The sequence below is a fragment of the Homo sapiens genome, chromosome 5 (genome assembly GCF_000001405.40).
Source record: "Homo sapiens chromosome 5, GRCh38.p14 Primary Assembly".
In the NCBI taxonomy this organism is placed as follows: Eukaryota; Metazoa; Chordata; class Mammalia; order Primates; family Hominidae; genus Homo; species Homo sapiens.
In genome coordinates this window covers 29,379,503-29,398,298 of record NC_000005.10, presented here as the reverse complement: position 1 = coordinate 29,398,298, position 18,796 = coordinate 29,379,503, and the positions used below count along the sequence as shown (strand labels likewise).

Here is an 18,796-nt window from a genome sequence, read left to right as displayed (position 1 = left end):
TTACTGTTTGTTGCAGTTTTCATCGTTGCTATTTGTTCATTTAGGGATTATCCTGGAGGAATTCTGCAGCCACTAAAGTCTCTGCTTGGTTCACTTAGTAGTCATCTAATATATTCTCTTAAGTTACTCACACCAGTAAGTCTTTTAGCCTTTGCGAATGGGCTCTGTGTGTGTGTTTGTGTGTGTGTCTCTGTGTGTGTGTGTGTGTGAGAGAGAGAGAGAGAGAGAGAAAGAGAGAGAGAGAAAGCATGTTTTTAATACTCTGAAAAGTAGTTTTTAACTACATCTTAGTTTTTACTTCCTATTTACCTACCGTCTTAAGGCTTCCAGAGGTCAGAGATCATGGCCTTCACAGGTCTTTTCTGGATATGTGCAAAGTCCTGAGTATGCACATGACTCTGTAGAGGCATGTGGCTTTGCAAAATACCAGCAACATGTGAGTGGTTTTCAAAGTGCCCCATGAAAAACTCATTTCTCATTTTTTCCTTTTAAGATTTTTGGCCAGATTTTTATTGGCCCCAATGGTTATCACCACTTCAGGCAGCTATGCTGTTAAATAATTGCCATCGTTTGTTTTGAAATAAATGCTCTAAGGATATGGCTATTTGCACAGAGGAAGCTCTGTGCTATATCAACTATACAACTGCCCAGAGAATGAAGCTTTTCAGGGAGTTGCCTGACAGGTCAAGTAATGAGAATCCACTGGAGTTTGGGTGTTTTTGGATATCTAAATATGTTGTTTCTTCCAGTGGTTGTTGGTTAGCTGGATTTCACAGCTGTTGGAATTATGAGGTTGTTAGTTTTCAAGAGTACTGTGAATCTGGGACAGCATGATGGGATTAGGGAAAGTTAAAGGGTCATGAATCTTCTGTTCTTACCTAGATTCAATGATTTTTCTTGAGTAAACACTTTGAGTAATTGAAAGCTTTTGTTTTCAGATTCTGAAAATATTAATTTTGATTTTTTTTCTCCCAGCATTCTCATCACTTTTATGGAGGAGTGCATTTTCAAATATCTTTACTCTACCATTTAAAAATTGTCCTCCAAGACCCATATTTAAAGAAATTTTCATTTCAATTAACATGATTTATTATGTTTTTGTATTTGAAATGTATTAAGTGGTAATATCTTATGATTTTTTGTGATAGAATGACAAAGTATACGGACAATTTTATTTTCACTCCTATAATTTCCAGCTCTTTTATAAAGCCATGTGTCCAGATCTGGTAAATGAATGTAGGCAAAAATCATGTCACCCTCGGTTGTCATGGCAGGTTATGGGGTGTATAATTTCGAGCTAGAAATAGAGCTAGCAATTCTTCTCAAGCCATTTTTAAAGAGAAATCTGTGCCATAGACGAAATAAGACTGACTCTGGCAGAATTATTTCAGAAACATGCATCATTAACCCAAGTTCTTAACTAGTTATGAATAGTTGTGTTTTTTTTTTGTTTTTTTTTTTTTTTTTTTTTTTGAGACGGAGTCTCGCTCTGTCGCCCAGGCCGGACTGCGGACTGCAGTGGCGCAATCTCGGCTCACTGCAAGCTCCGCTTCCCGGGTTCACGCCATTCTCCTGCCTCAGCCTCCCGAGTAGCTGGGACTACAGGCGCCCGCCACCGCGCCCGGCTAATTTTTTGTATTTTTAGTAGAGACGGGGTTTCACCTTGTTAGCCAAGATGGTCTCGATCTCCTGACCTCATGATCCACCCGCCTCGGCCTCCCAAAGTGCTGTGATTACAGGCGTGAGCCACCGCGCCCGGCCGAATAGTTTTTATTTACAGTCTGTTATTCCAGAATCAAAAAATGTAAATGGTGGTACACACACACTAGTATATAAGGGCATAATTCTTAGAATTGGTTGAGATGAGAGCTATAAGGTTAGCCGAGAGAAGGAACGAGTAGACCCCAAACTCAGGCAAGCAAGTTTTTATTAACCTGCTGGGCTGCTCCAGAGGAGGCAGCCTCATTTACAGACTGCTGTGGGGTTTTATAGGGCAAGGGGCTAGGCTGGGGTAGGGGAAACTGAGTAGGGTAGCAGGTGTTTCAACCATTTCCTGGAAATGTTTTTGCCCGTTCGGCTAAGCAAGGTGGGCAGATGTCTTAACTGTATCCTAGAACTGTTTACTAGTTCTACTGAAAGTCTTGCACAAGCGGCTGTAGAAAAGTTGGGGAGGTGTTTGTAGGTGGTCACAAAGGACTGTATTGTGAAGTTCCTGGAGGAGGAGGAGGGGTAGCTTGGATCTCTAACATTCCGGCCTTTAATAGGTCATAAAGGAAGAGGGCAACGTTATCATCTGACTGCTTGTAGCTGTGGAAGGGCGGCGTAGAAGAGGAAAGGCTGGGGGTTTCGGATGGTTGTTTTTGAAGCCATCAGTATTCTTGAAGAAGCAGCATATCTTGAACTGTCCTATGGGTGAAGGCTTTGATGTGGTCCTGTAAAAACTGGGTAAGGAGACGTATGAAGCAGGGTCCAAAAGCTAAGAGAAGAAGCATGCTTATAGCTGGGCGAAGGAGGGGTAGTAGCCAGGGAGCCCAAAAGCTAAGGGACCATGAAGGCCAGAGGGACCAGGTAGAGGATGTGTTTTTTTTTTTTTTGGTGGGGGGGTGGGGTTTGGTTTTTTCATTTTTTGACTGCATCTTGTACTAGGCCTGATTGATTGAGATAAAAGCAGCACTGTTTATCTAAAAAGATGCACAGCCTTCCTTTTTCAGCAGTGAGCAAATTAAGACCTCTGTGATTTTGAAGGACAACTGCGGCTAAGGAGTCTACCTGTGATTGGAGGGTTGAAACAGTGTTAGCTATGTCTTTTTAACTGCCTGTAAGATCTTGTGAGAGACAGTGATAGTACATGAGGGAAGTAGAAAGCCCCGCCACTCTGGTTCCAACCACAGTAGTCATTTCTAGCCCTACTAGGAGAAGTATTAACTGAACGGCACTGCATTGGCGCACTTGAGTTTTTACAAGGATTCATAGGCTTTGGTTTCCAGGGGCAATGTTAATTTTTGGGCTTAGGACAACCAGAGTACAAGTACCAGTCCAGTTGGTAGGGAGGTAGAGGTAGGCGGAGGTACCGCACAGGAAGAATATGGCTTGGCTAGGTAAACAAAATTGGTTGTGTATGTTAAAAAGGTGTTTAAGCTTGTGGTCTTCATGTATCCATGCTCCTAGGGTGCTTGCTAAGGCAGCTGTGAGGAGTGGCTGGAAGAGGGTATTGGGGGATGGTTGGATTGAACCTGGTTATTTTCCTGGTGGAGGAGAAACCGTTTTGTGTCTACCAGGAGTTTGTGGTTACTGTTTAACAGGGGGATTAGGAGATATTCGTTTGGGGTTGGGGGTGGTGAGCCTTATAGGGGAATGTAGTCCAGGGTTGAAGGGATAGGCAGGGTAGGTGTCTTTTGTTGCAGTATCTTGAGTTTATGTTGTGTAGTACAGTGGTGTTAATTTTCAGGGGCCAGAAAAGCTCATAGTAACCCAGAAAATGGAAAGATTAGTATGATTAACTGGGCCTTGGAGTTGCAGAGTGAAGTTGTGAAGTTGCAGTGAAGTTGCAGTGGTTTGAAGGTAGGTGTCTTAGGAGGTGACCTGAGGGGAAGTGGCATTGGATGCACAGAGGAGCTTGAGAAGTTTAGAAGATGTTGGTGGCTGTAGGACGGAAGATGGGCTTAGTATGGTTGGTAGGAGTGGAACCAATATGGAAATAGGGGCACATTAACAGAGCTGCTTGCCTTATTGTGTTGAGAGGTTTTTCATTTTGGAATAGGAATTGGAGAGACTTATTAAGGACTGTAAATCTGGGTTTTGGTAGGGGTATGGCTTTAATTACTTGGTCAAGGAAAACAACTGCATATCCAGCAATTTTGGGGGAGCCAGTGGGCCTGGAAGAGGAGCCATCTATGAACAGTTGTTCATAGGGATTGGTGAGAGGCTCAGAGGAAATATTTGGGAAATGTGGCTGTACAAGGTCCAGGATGTCAGTCCAAGAATGAGTAAGAGGGGAAGAAGATATGGGGAGTAAGGATGTTGGGTTGAGGGGAGCACTTTTGGCAACACTGGATTTGGGATTTTCAATAAAGAGGGCATGGAGTGACTGAACTCGGGAAGGAGAGAGGGAGTTTAACACCTGGGAGGAGAGGAGATCCTGTAAATTGTGAGGGCAGTGGATGGTGGTGCTTTGGCCAAGTGTTAGTTTTTTGCTTTCCAGAGCTAAAACGGCTGCCACTGCTAATGCTCTAAGACAGGTTGGCCATCCTTTGAAGTGTGGTCTAATTGTTTAGAGAGATAAGCTACAGGGGCAAAGGAAGGAGGATCCTCTTTCTGTTGCCCTAAGATACCAAGGTTTACTCCTCAGCTTTTGACAGTGTAGAGAATGAAGGGTTGGGAGATATCAGGTAAGGACAGGGCAGGTGCAGTGACAACAGTGGTTTGGAGTTTATGGACACTGAGAAGTATGTTATGTGTGGGACTTAGGGGTTCACTGAGGGAGCCTTTGGCTGCTTAATAGAGGGGGTGAGCCAGGAGGGCAAAGTTGGGAATTTATATCCTAAAGAAACCTGCCAATCCTAAGACAGAGAATTTTATTTTTTGAGGAAGGCGGAGGCAAGCTGTTTTATTAAGGCTGCCCATGCCAGGGTCATAGCTCAGACCCTGGGGCAGAGTTGGACTCCTAAGTATGTTACTGTTGGGGTGGATAGTTGGACTTTGGAGGGGGAGACTCTATATCCTTTGCTAGCAAGAAAGTTTAGAAGGGTAATGGTGTGAGTTTGAGAGTCTTTTAGGGAGGGGCTCCAGAGAAGGAGATCATCTATGTATCGAAGGAGATGGCTGGGGGACTGGTCTAAGGAGGTGAGGTCTTGGGCTAGAGCTTGTCCAGAGAAGTGAGGGCTGTCCCTGAAGCCTTGAGGGAGGATGGTCCATGTGAGTTGTGATTGAAAAGTGTCAGGATTAGTCCAGGTGAAGGCAAAGAGGTTTTGGGAGTCAGGGTGTAGGGGAATGGTAAAGAAGGCATCCTTTAAGCCAACTGTGGTGTAGTGGGTGGTGTTGGAGGGGATGAGAGACAGAAGTGTGTAGGGATTAGGGACTATGGGATGAATAGTGAGGACAGCCTAATTGATGGCTCAGAGGCCCCTGGACAAGTTGGTACGAGCCGTCTGATTTCTTAACAAGGAAGATGGGGATGTTATATGGAGAGTGAGTTGGTCTAAGGAGAATGCACGAGCAGAGTTTGTTTATAATGGGCTGTAAGCCTTTTTGGTGGGTGAGAGAGATGGGGTACTGGGGTACGCTGGGAAATTTGGAGGGGTCTTTTAAGTGGATTTTTATGGGATAATGGTAAGCAGCTAGGGACGGGGTGGTGGTGCCCCATACTATGAGACAGGCAGGGAGTGGGTGCTAGGGACGGGGTGGTGGTGCCCCATACTATGAGACAGGCAGGGAGTGGGTACTGGGGAGAGGGGTCAGGGGCCAGACTAGTGGAAAGGAGCAGGAGGGACTTTGGTTGAGGGAGGCAGGAAAAGGTGATAGAAGCCTTAAATTTGGTTAAGAGGTCTCGGCCTAGAATGGGAGTAGGGCAGCGAGGCATGATAAGGAAAGAGTGTGAGAAAATGGTATTAAACAGGGGACAGGACAGTGGTCCGGTGGCACAGAAATTGGAGACAAGTCCATCAACTCCCACAGCTGAGACCTGAGAGGGATGATCTGGTCCTGCAAATTTATGTAAAGCAGAGTAGGTGGCTCCGTTATTGATTAAAAAAGAGATTGGCTTACCTGTCACTAGTAGAGTTACCCTGGGCTCCAATGCAGTGATGGCAGAGGAGGTCGGGAGCCCTGGGCCCCATCAGTCTTTAGCGGCCAGGCTGAGGAGCTGTGGGAGTGCGAGTGATTCTTCACTTTTTGGCTTGATGAGGGGACAACGGCTTGGGGAGCCAGGCTTTTTTGTTTGCCTGTAAAGAGGGCAGTCAGATTTCCAGTGGCCTGTTGGCAGGCTGGGCAGGGGCTCTTCAGTACTTGTGGGTTAGGACATGCCCTTGCCCAGTGGCCTTCTTTGCCAAACTTAAAACAGGCCCCAGGAGGAAGACTGCTCTTGGGTCTTTTGTGCCCTTGGGTGCTATTGCCAGGTTGGTGAATAACTGCGGCTGGTAGCTGGTATTTGGCACGATCTTGTTGGGCCTTATTTATTTTTTCCTGCTCATCCCTATCATCAAAGACTTTGAAAGGCAGGTTGAGAAGGTCTTGTTGTGGGGTTTGAGGGCCTTCTTTGGCTTTTTTAAGTTTATGCCAGATGTCGGGAGCTGACTGGGAGATAAAATGGATATTAAGAAGTATAGTGCCTTCTGGGGTAGCAGGATCAATGCAGATGTATTTTTGAGATCCTCTGTAAGGCGAGAGAGAAATGTAGTGGGATTTTTATCTGCCCTCTGGGAAATTTCTTTGAATTTTTTTTTTTTTTAATTTACAGCTTTGTGAGCAGCTTTGTTAAGGCCCGCAGTGAGGCAAGTGACCATATGGTTACGGGATGCTTGGCCAGGGTCCGTGGGTTGGTATTCCCAGGAGGGCTCTTCTCAGGATACTGCCGTGGACCCTACTGGCTTAGTATCATCTTGCCTATGGAGGTCATCAGTGTGTGCCTGGGCCGTGAGCCACGCTCTTTCCTTTTCTTCTGGAAGGAGGGTGGAAGAGGGAATTATATAAGGATCATGAGATGTTTCAACTCTTTGGTATAAGTATCGGGATCGGAGGAGAAGGACCTGCCTGAGATGCTTTTCGATTTGGGGAAAGATGGGTTAGAGAGAAAGGAACATGGACACGGACAATTCCTTCAGCCCTAGCAAACTTCCAGAGGGGAAGCATGGGAGCTGGTTGTTGGGCATGTTGGGTCCGAGAGCAGGTAAGGGTTGGAGACGGAGAGGGCTCAGAATCGGAAGCGGGGTGGTTAGAGAGAGGAGAAAGAGGGGAAATGCTGGGGCAGAAGCCTATGGTCATGGTCATGATGTTCTGGAGGAGGAACAGGATAAGTCCGGGGAGTGGGGAAGTCTGCAGGGTCAAAGGAGGAGTCGTTGGTTGGTAGACAAGTGGGGTCTGCTGAGAGCAAGTTGGGTTTATAACCAGCGAGGAGGATTTGGAAAGTGGAGTGGGATTGGCAAAGGGAAGGGCAGTTACAGAAGGTGAAGAAAGCCTGAACATAAGGAATTTCAGACCATTTCCCACTGCAATGGCAAAAATTGTCTAAGTACCTGAGTATATTGAAATCAAAAGGACCATTTGCAGGCCACTGGGAGCCATTGTTTAATTTACATTGTGGCCAAGTCGTATTACAGTATAAAATAAGCCTCTTGGGACAAACCTCTGAATGGAGGCCGAGAGTGTTGAGGTTGTGCAAGAGGCACCCCGGGGGGGGGAATACTTTTAGACAGAGTAGAGTGAGAGGCTTCCATAGCGGATGGAGGTGGGGGCAGAGGAAGAAGAGACTGCCGGTGGCTAGGACAGCAGGAGCGGGCGTCCCCAGTCCCAGGGGTTTTGTTTAGTATACGGAAGGCAACCACAGAGTCTGGCATCCCTGAAACGGAGATGCCGGAGGCCTACAGATGAGAGGGAGCCCTTGGCCCAGCGCTGGGTCTTTCAGGAAGACAGAGATTGTCAAGGGTCCTGGGTAAATGGCAAGAGTCTCTCTTACTCACCTCTGTGTAGACTCTAGTGATGAATGAAGTTGCCAACAATGGGAGGGTCCGAGAAATTCCCCGGGTCTTCCACAGGTTCAGGAAGGGGAGGGTGGCCGGGAGATAGGGAAGGGAACCGAGGCTCCAGTGCATTGCGACAACTGAGCCTGGGAGGAGTGAGGGAGCAAAAGGGAGAGGGAAAGGGAGATAGAGAGTGTCCTCTAGGGACACCCAGCCAGAGCCTACCCCTTCCTGGGTTTCGGCACCAAAATGTAAGGTTAGCCAAGAGAAGGAACGAGTGGACCCCAAAGTCAGGCAAGCAAGTTTTTATTAACCTGCTGGGCTGCTCCACTGTAAACAGAGGAGGCAGCCCCGCTTACAGGCTGCTGTGGGGTTTTATAGGGCAAGGGGTTAGGTTGGGGTGGCGGAAACTGAGTAGTGTTGCAGGTGTTGCAACTGTTTCGTGGAAATGTTTTTGTCTGCTCGGCTAGGCAAGGTGGACAGATGTCTTAACCGCATCCTGGAACTATTTAACAGTTCTACTGAAAGTCTTGCACAAGCAGCTGTAGAAAAGGGTTGGGGGTGCTTGTAGGTGGTCACAAAGGACTGTATTGAGAAGGTCATGGAGGAGGAGGAGGGGTAGCTTGGATCTCTAACAAGAGCTTCTTCATCTAATGTTTACTATACCATTTTCTTATTTGTAAAAGGAAGATTTGGAGGATCATCTGAATACCCATCCAACAGAGATCCATGATTCATGTATTTCTCAAGACAGCCATACACTAAAATTATAAGATCATAAGAATATTAATTATATTCTACCAATGCAATACAAGGTATCGTTTACTCTCTTTAAATAATAGCTAGCTCACTTCAAATTCAACATTCCTAGTGAATCTCTACATGGTGAAACAGCCTTCTTTATAGCTGCTACTTTTAATTCTCAAAGAGAGTCTTTCTGTGGTGTGTAAATATATTTGTTTCACTTCCCCACCCTTCTCTTTAATCATGGGAAAATGCCCTACAGTGAACATGGACTATATCAGACACTCTACTTGGCATACTGTGATAATTCTTGACTTTTCATTTAACATCAACAAAAATGTTAAGATAAAAGGTTATTGTTAGTCTTGAAATTATTTTTGGCAGGAATATTTTTAAAATACATTTATATTGAATTCTTTAAATAATTTCGACAGCCTCACAATAAGTAGAATTTTATATATTATTTTTCTCAAAAAATTTACAAGTAATCCTTTTCTTCACTCCTCCTCACAAAATGTATATCAAGAGGAAATAATGAATTTATGGAATAATATCATGTTTGATGACATTAATTGTCCTCTGCTGGAATATTAAATGCTGAATAATAAAATCTCTCTGAAATTTTATAACTAGAGAAGCCTCTGCGATACTCTTACATTAAATACAAGATGCTAATGGGTGAAAAACAAATACATAAGACCACATTAAAATATTTGATATAATTAAGTTTTGAATAAAGAGATGGATTAATGAAGTTAGATGAGGCAAATAACATGATATATTTACCACTGTGCAAAACTATGCTTCTCTAGACACAGATCTTCACAGTTAAGTAAAGAGGAATATTAAATACTGAACCATCCTAGTTTACACATACAAAAAGGTAGAAGGATGAGCATTGAATAAGAACTTACAAGATATTATTAATTATGTAGCCTTTCTGGAGTGTATCAGTTGCTATTCCTTCATAATAACTTAGCACAAACATTACTCCTTGAAACATAATAACTTCAGGTCACCAGTGACTCACAACAGTTTTACCTGAGTCTCACATGCCTCTCCTGAAGGTTGTCAGTATAATAAGCAAAGAGCTATAACCATCAAACACGAGGAGCAGTGGCCTGCATATTCAGCCTCAGGAAAAGGACATTCTCGAGCACACTAATCTCAGAGATTTGGTGTCAGGTCTTTCTATTTGTTAACTATCACATATACAGATAAGAACATATTTTTATCATTTTGAGCTACAACAGGTTTGCACAAGGCAACATCTCATGCTTAAATATATTGTGTTTTAGGCATGCTTTGACTATTGTCATGTTTGACATTTAGGCTGGTGGAGTCCTTCAGGAAGGAGATGCTGAAGTGAGGTTAAGATTGCCAGCAGTAAATGATATGTTAAAGTTATAAAAGATAGAAGGAAGGGGAAAAAAAAACAAAACTGGGCAGCAAATGCCTTTAAATGTTGAAACTGTACCTATAATCTGCTCTAGCAAATGCACCATCTTCTGATAGCATCTGCTATATTGTATACTATGTTGTCGACCTTGTAGTGGTATTTGAGCCATCTTTCAGGTTACTTTTTCTTCAGTGTCCAGAATGTTGGATAAAATGAAGATAAAATAGGCACTGCCATTTTTGAATTCATTAGATGCCCGAGTATTGCACTAATCTTCACCACTCCACCCACGTTGCAGTATTATTTGTGATTTACTAGATTGTTTATTGATGGAGATAGGAATGTTAGTTTCAGAGCCCTCCACTTTATCTTTTCTACTACAATAGCTTTTACTCTATAGTCTAAGAGCAAATGTGAGAAGTACTACAATTGCCAAGTGTCTGTCTCAATTTTACATTTGGAAACCCAAAAGTCCTGCTGTAATGATAACTTTAGCCATGACCCCATCCATTATCTGGCCTCTGTATAATATCTTTCTAATGGGAGTTTGTAGGGATTATAGTACTTTTGGTCTTCAGAAGCATCTGCCTATGCGCCCCTAGTCCATGTGTGAAAGATTCAGATTTCCCAACAAGGACACTGAGCTTGTTATAACAGACTTACTTGGGCTAAAGGCTGAATCGTGTTTAAAGCTCAGGAACTCGAACTAGTAAATCCTGGGCTTGATCTTTTGAATTATTTTCTCTCTCATTACAGGAGATAAGGTGCTTTGCAAGCTACCAAGACACATTTTGCACTTTGTACTTAATCACCAATTATTCTCTTTGTGAGCTACCAAAAAGATGTTTTACACTTCATATTCAGTCACCAATGTCAGAACTGTTCCCAGCCTGATGATGTCACTATATAGGACACTGAGAAACAAATTTAATAACAACCAACCAATTTAATTTTCCTTGTACACATTATCTGTCACTCTCTACTTTTCATATTACTAAACAATTATAACAACCTGGGTATTTCTCTCCACTGGAATATTACCATACCTCCTAAGGTTAAACTTCAGAAATTGGACCACAGTTTTGTACCATAGACTATCCATGCCCTACATACCTTACAAGATTAGATCATCATTAACAGTCAGGTAGTGAGAGATCTAGTCCCAAATCCACATTTTTCCAGCTGCATCCTTGAATCACTCCTGACACCAGGTATGTTAAGTTGGCTATCTGGAAAGCAGAATACCTGAGAGTTAGAAATGTCAGCATTTTATTGTGCAAGACAGAAGGAAAAGGAATGAGTTAGTTAGGAAAGTCTTCGGACTGTAATATCTATTTGAAACGTAAAAGGAAAATTGGGCAAGGAGATCCACCTATTGTGAAACAAATTTGACTCTTCATAAAGTCAGTGGGGCATTCCAGAATACACATGGTCCTTTTAAAAAGCCCTACATTCAGCAGAAATAGCCAAGCACTGGCAACCTCTGCCTGATTTACAATTATCTCGTTTTTTGCTATCTTAAAATTATTAGCCATATTGGGTAAGATCCTTAATTCATGTGAATTTTATTTCACATTCTAATGCATTGTGTTACCTCAATATGCATTTTGTGACCCCTCAAACTGTTCAATTATTATGTTTTACACTCAATAAAATATTTTAAAGAAATGTCCAAACAGTGCGTCACCACAATATCTAGTTTATTTTTATTACTCCACAGTGTCCGATATTATGATTGCAGGACACCCTATAGAGGTGGCAGAGATTTTGAGTCTTTAATCTCTTTCATTGCCTTCTAATATATACTATATACTATTTGACCAATATCTTCATGTTATATGAATTTTGGACTTGAAGGATTTCTGACTTCTAATTGAGAAAATCCTCAAACTTCAGTTTTTAAAATTGTCATGGATATTCTTGATGTTTTCTATTTCACTCTAAATTCTAAAATCAGTTTGTGAATTTCTACACATAAAAAATCTGGTATTTTGAGAGATATTCTGAAGTGAATTAAAATTTTAAAAATATTAAGCTTTATAGCTAACTATTATTGCAAATATTAAATTTTGCAAGAATTCTGTTACTATTTTAGTGTAGATGTTTTATCCATCTTTCATTAGATATATTGCTGGTATTATTTTCTTATCCTTCTAAATTACACATATATAACACTTATATATTATTGCTAGTATTTATTTAAAAAGTGATTTTTAATATTAACTTTGTGTCTATCAAACTTGATTAATTCACTTACCTATTCATTATTAATAGTTTCGTGAATTTTACATTTATACAACTATGTTCTCTGCAAACCACGAGAGCTGTAATTTTCTTTCTAAGCTTTATACCTTTTCTTTATATTTATGTCTTATTTCACAATATAAGACCTCCAGTAAATGGCTGAAAACTGTATATTAAATAATGGAATGTTTACCTATAATCTTATGAATATTAATCCTTATGCTGTTTACGTGAAAGTAGTACCCTTGCCATTTAACAGATGAGAAAATGAGACTCAGTGAATTTCTTTCACTTTCTCAAAGTCAAATTGTTCCTATGTGAGCAAATAGCATGAGAAATTCAGTTAACTCGTAATGCTAGGGATTTTCCTTTTTCTACTTTTATCATACCATCTAATTTCAAATTCAGTTAGGAGTGCATTTTCTTCTGAAGTCCTTATTGTGTGTTTTATTTTAATGTTCTGATTATGTATCCCCTGCCCTAACATATCATGAAAAATCAGTTTCTCCTGCTAAGGACTACAACTAGAGACCTCATATATGAAGATTCACTTCCTAGTTTATACGTGCTCAGGACTTGCGTAAAAAATACTCCATATCTATATATCAAAATTACATTAGTGAAATCTTATGGAGTATTGTTAACACTTTTCTCTAGAGGGTCTGTAATTATGGTATTAACAACTATTCTTCACAAGATTAGATATTGCATACTAAGTATTTAAGTGGCCTAAATATCTTTTTCAGTCCTTTATTTCAATGTTTCTATGTCTAACCCTAAAAAAGTTAAATACTAAATGTCAAGTAGCCAATCTAATTTTTACTATATATAAAACGAATAATAAAATTTAACATTAAATGATATTTCTGTACTTCCATATGATCCATCTGAGCATATTTTTAACTACCTGCATAAGCCCAGTTAAGCCATTTTTGATCCTTTATATGGAAAATGATTATAGAGTCCATTTGATGTTATTAAATTGCATGAAAAAAATCTACATTTCTCTAGTTGATGAATCTCACCCTTGAGTTTCATTTTATTAAACTATAATTATTAGATCCTTTAATATTCATACAGGAAGAGCTTGTATCACATTTTGAGCTCAAAACTAAGCAGTAAGGAGATAAAGTGTAATGGGACAGGAGAATTAAAATAGCTATAGGAGTCTCTTTTCCAAAGTGTCGATCCATTTAATATCCAAAGCTATAGGCATAAAAATTATATTTTAATATAGATGCTTTACCATGTGTTAAAGATAAAAAAACAATGTTATTTGTTAAAATACAGTAAGGCGGACTTTATTCAGGACCACTGCTATACATTTGGAGGTCATGGAAGTGGTATTTTGTAGTGAGGGAAAAAGATAAGACTCGATTCTAAATATAGTATGGGAAAGTGGGAATTTGTATCCTTGCAGCAGGATGGCAGTCAATGGATAAAAAATAACTAAGAGGTAACTTAAAAGTAAGAGGGATTCAGGCTAAACCTATGTAACAGGATGCTTGCTGAAGAGATGCCAAGGTGATTAGACATTACCTAGGGATGGTGGAGGATGGAAATCCTCGCTAATATAAAAGGTGATAAGATTATGAGGGTGGGAGGTTCTTACCGAACTGATTTAGCAGGGGGCTTCTTCCAAAACTGGATTTTTACAAGCAAGTATACAGATGATCCTACAAGGTTCAGGAGCCTGAATAAAATTTGGTCAAGACAATCATCTTTGTTACATGTATATTAAGATAGACTTTCTGAAACATTTGATTCTCAATTTTTAAACTGTCTAAATAGCCTATCTATTCTATATATTAAAATATGCCTTAAAATATGTATTCCTTTTTTTTAGCATTGAAATGGATGGCATCTGATCCTGCTTCATGTGATTCTTCATTTAGCTCTGGACTCTTTACATCATTAAGGTACCCTGAATATATTCAGTATGGTAAGGAATATTTTAATCATTGTACACAAATAAGTCACAGTCAATTGCTGTATTAGTTCATTCTTGCATTGCTATAGACTACTTGAGACTGGGCAATTTACAAAGAAAAAAGATTTAATTGACTCAGTTCTGCAGGCTGTAAAGGAAGCATGGCAGAGGAGGCCTCAAGAAACTTATAATTATGGTGGAAGGGGAAGCTGGCACATCTTACATGGCCAGAGAAGAAGGACAAGAGAGAGGGGGAGGTGCCACACACTTTTAAACAATCAGATATCATAAGAACTCACTCACTGTCATGAGAACATCAGGGGGGATCCACTGTCATGATCCAATCACCTCCCACCAAGCCCCTCCTCCAACATTGAGGATTATAGTTCAACATGAGATTTGGGTGGGGACACAAATCCAAACCATATAAATTGCTTATTAGGGTTTTAAGAAGAAATGTATCCAGATCCATCTGTAACTGTCAACAGTTCATAGTTAGAAAAATAAAAAAAATCTAGAGAGAATATAAAGAAATTTAAAGATTGAAAAGTGAAATACTCTCACCTACTCATCAGTTAACAAATATTAACTCATATGAAGTGAATATTATGTAGCACATGTTATTCTGTACACTGAAGATATAGGGATGACAAAGAAATTAGAGTTCTGGCCTAAAGGAGTTTACATATTTTAAAAGGATACAGATATTAACCATTTATACATAAACACATAAGATTTCTTGTTCTGAGTGCTAAGAACAAGAGTCTAAGGAGGCATTTGACTGAGAGTGGCTAATGAGAGATTTCTCCTTTAGCTAGCGTTGTCAGGAAGATAAAACCCTAATGATGAAAAAAAGGCAGTAGTGAAAATATCTTCTAGAATAATGTTTCAAGCTTAAGGAACGCTACAGCAAAGGGCCCTAGTTAAATTGGACCTGAAATACTGGAGGGTTATAAACATCACAGTACTACTAATGTGGTTTTTCACTGTACTTTCATCCTATAGTTGTAATGGTTTCCAGGTTATGGCACTGGTAGAGGATCGTGACTGCAAGTTGTCCAGGTTCTTGGTGTTTTGAACAAAGAATTCGACAAATCTCACAGCAAAGAAAAGAAAGAATAAAGCAACAGAAGAACGAAAGCAGGAATTTATTGAAAACGAAAGCACACTGCACGCAGTGTGGGAGTGGACCTCAGCAGTGGCTCAGAGGCCCAGAACAGAATCTTCTTGGGTCCAAACACTCCCTAGAAGTCTCCCATTGGCCACCTGATGCTCAACTCATGTAAATGAAGTGGTAGCCCACACTCAGTCTGATTGGTTACAGAAAGCAGCCAATCAGAAGCTGAAGTGAAGTTACAAAAGTCACAGTCCTGGACAAATATCTGATTGGTTGCAAAAAGCAACCAATCGGGATAGGGTGAAGTTATACTTCTATGCAAATAAAGGCTCCACCCACAATCAGTCTGATTGGTTGTGGACAGTAACCATTCAGAGGCAGGAGTGAAGTTACAAAGTTGCAAACAAAGACAGGGCGGGCAATCAGTCTGATTTGTTGCAGACAGCCAATTTTCCATTTGCCACACAGAAAAGGTCAAAGAGAGTAGCCTCTGTTCCTTTTGTTAGATGTGTAAAGTTAGGAGTTTCCTTTCAGTTTAGTTCTAGAAAGTCAGCGTGAAACAGCCTTAGGTTCCCTGCCTCCAGACCCCATCCTCCTTGCTCAGTAACATTCATCCATAAAAAATGAGTTTTAAAATCTCAAACTAAACTTACTTATAGCCAAGAGGTAAACAAAATGACACCCTGTAAAAGCTCCCTTATTTTGGAAAGCCCTATAACAATATACTTGAATACTCAGGACTTGATATAAAACACATTCGTGAAAGAATAGAGAAAATTTATTCTTTTATGATGTTCTCATGTTTAAAGAAGAACATTTTGCCATTCTTGCTGGTAAGCATATATAGAATATAAGAAAGGAAGAGAACCTAATGTAATCATTACCATCTGTGCAAAACCATATTTCTTCTGGGGCCTTATTTTGTCTGCTTCTCACAACAGTCCCATATAATCAATATTGCTTTCTGCCCGTTTAGTAGCCAGAAAACTATTTTACAGAGGGGAAATGACCAAGTTAATAGGTAGAAGGGGTGATCATGTGGAGATACAGATCTAACCCCATCCTAACTCGAAGTGTATGATCTCTATTTTTTTCTTTATTGTCTCAAAAGAAGGAGAATATGGATGGAGAAAAGGCACTCAACCCGTCAGCCTAATGTTGTTCTCTGGTCAATTTATATTGACGAATTTTTGCTTTTGTACTTTTGTGACTGTCTCCTTCTTTTTCAGGCTTTTTCTTTGCAGGAATTTAAAAGCAACCCTATGAATATAACATTTGTCAAAAAGAGCAAGTGCCAAGCCAGTTGAGAATAACCTTACAATGTGTACAAGGATTCCAGGTAAAAACATTTTCATCCCTCTGAACAAAAGTGTCTGGCTTTTGAAAAACACTAATTTCTAAATAGTGAGAGATTCTTACATTTTGTGTATGTGGAGCTTTTAAATTCCTAACAAATGTAAAGTTTAAAAATTATTTGAAAGTGACAAAACAAAATAAAAATATACCCTTCATTTTAATCCAGGTTCAGAGAAGTTCAGCATCTCAACCATATCTTTATTAAAGAGGCAGACATGCTAATCTAAATATTTTACCAACATTAATGGCTTGAATATAGCTCAAGAATGCCAAATAAGTGTTTTATAAACTCAATAGATATACAAACAAAACTGAATAAATAGCTATAGTGATATTATAAATTATATCTGTTCATACTAATGCCAAACACTGGAATTTGAAATTGCTAATTAAAGACATTAGTGAATGTCAATACAGCAATATTTTAATGACTCCAAGATAATCCCAAAGCAATCAATTTAAATCAGAATGAGTTTATTGTAAAGTGCCAAAGGTGGAAAAAATGCCTCCCTTGCACGATAAAACAACAATTTCTCAAATGAATAATGCCTAGTCAAAATTTAACTAGATAATTACTTCATTTGCATTTATTAAGGAAATATAACAACTTGGAAGAAAGCTCTTTGGGAAATGATCTCGGAGTTTAGAGTCATCTAATTTTACCTAAACTTCTGAATACACAGAACACATTAATGATGATAACAAACCAGAACAACAGCAGCAGAAAAGAACAACAAAATTATACGAAATTTATACGACAAAAGGCAGGGGCCTATTTTATAGCTAGTATGTGTATAAAAATTACCAGATCATTGTAGGAAGGTACTTGGCCTAGTGAATTAAATGAGAGGATAAGCTTCAGTTTCTATATTTTGTGTCCAGTTTTCCTAGAAGCAGGGAAGAGTGCCTGCTTCTATTTTTATACCTGTATGAGTGTAAGTAAAAACAATGCATGAATTTTGCTTGCTTCCATCTTATTCCAACAGGATCTGACCATTGTCCAGTTTCTTCGTGGTATCACAAAGAAAATGGCCTGGAAAATCACACAAAATATAATATCCTAATTTGCTTAGAAGGGTTGGGTCTAATCTATATCATGGGATTCTTTTGGATCATCATGCCAGCAGTGGAAGACTCAACAAACAATTAAACGATTAAAATCAACAAACACTTAAAATCAAAACTAACAACTATAACAAAGTTCTGAGCTAGTCTGAGATAGTTTAGTCTTCCAATCAGTTGTAGGTGTGTGCAATGATTTGTGGCAATAAGGAAGCAGACAGCAAATATTAAATCTGATGATAATCAGTCATTAGAATGACATGAAGGCAGAATACCATATGTACTTTGCAACTCCTCCCATCAAAAAGTAGAATCTATCTCCTCATCCTTTGAATCAAGTCTGGCTTTGTTACTGGGTTTGAACTATAGAATATAGCATAAATGACAGTGTCAGTTCTGAGCATACATTTCAAGAGGTCTTGCAGGTTTTGCTCTCATTCTTTTACAGTTCTGCTGCTATATAAACCAGCCTCAAATAGTCTGAGTCTGTGATATCACTGGGTCACCCCCATCACTTCAGTAGAAGGCCTGCCACTGCCTGACATGTGAAAGAGAGCATCCAGGATAAGCCACCTGTCAAACTGTCAACTTTATGCAGATATACAAGTGACAGGTTTGAGATCAGCCCAGCCCAGTCAACAGAGAAATATCCCAGTAGAATCATTATATAATTAAATAACATTAAAAAAAAAAAAAAAAGAAAAACTAAGTTTGGGATGATTCGTTGTGCACCAAAGACTTGAATGTGACCAAGTGCTAAAAATTGTCCATTATTTACCCAACATACTTTGTCTTGACCGAACTTTAGTCAGGCTTTTCTCCTCCCTAAATGCCCCTAGACATTGGCTTGCCTACAAGCTCAAGTAAGCACTAAAGCACCAAGTTACAGAACATTCCTCTCAACAGCTCATTCTGAAAATTGGCAGACCACAGAAACATTTTATGTTAAACCATCCTGACCACGTCGTTGGCTCATGTCTACCATCTGCCCTATTATTCACAAAGTTCTTGCTAGCACTAACCTCCCTATTTTTTTTGCTTTTTTGTTTACTTTTGAGACACTTGCAGATCTTGAGGTTAGAGCGTTTCCCCATTGCGAGAGTGTTTTTGAATAAACTCTCTCCTTATTTGAGTCTGCATTTATTTTTTGTTATACAACTTGAAGAGTTTAAGAGTAAATGAGGGCCGGGCGCGGTGGCTCACGCCTGTAATCCCGTCACTTTGGGAGGCCAAGGCGGGTGGATAACAAGGTCAGGAGTTCAGGACCAGCC

At 40.0% G+C, this 18,796-nt stretch overlaps 1 long non-coding RNA gene across 1 annotated transcript; it reads left to right on the top strand.

The window, feature by feature from the left end:
• The first annotated feature begins 2,322 nt into the window (after positions 1-2,322).
• Positions 2,323-18,229, top strand: LINC02064 (long intergenic non-protein coding RNA 2064). Its single transcript, NR_104628.1, has 5 exons — positions 2,323-2,445; positions 8,360-8,488; positions 13,907-13,979; positions 16,337-16,446; positions 17,974-18,229. It is a non-coding gene; the product is annotated as a long intergenic non-protein coding RNA 2064 (long non-coding RNA).
• Positions 18,230-18,796: the final 567 nt, after the last annotated feature.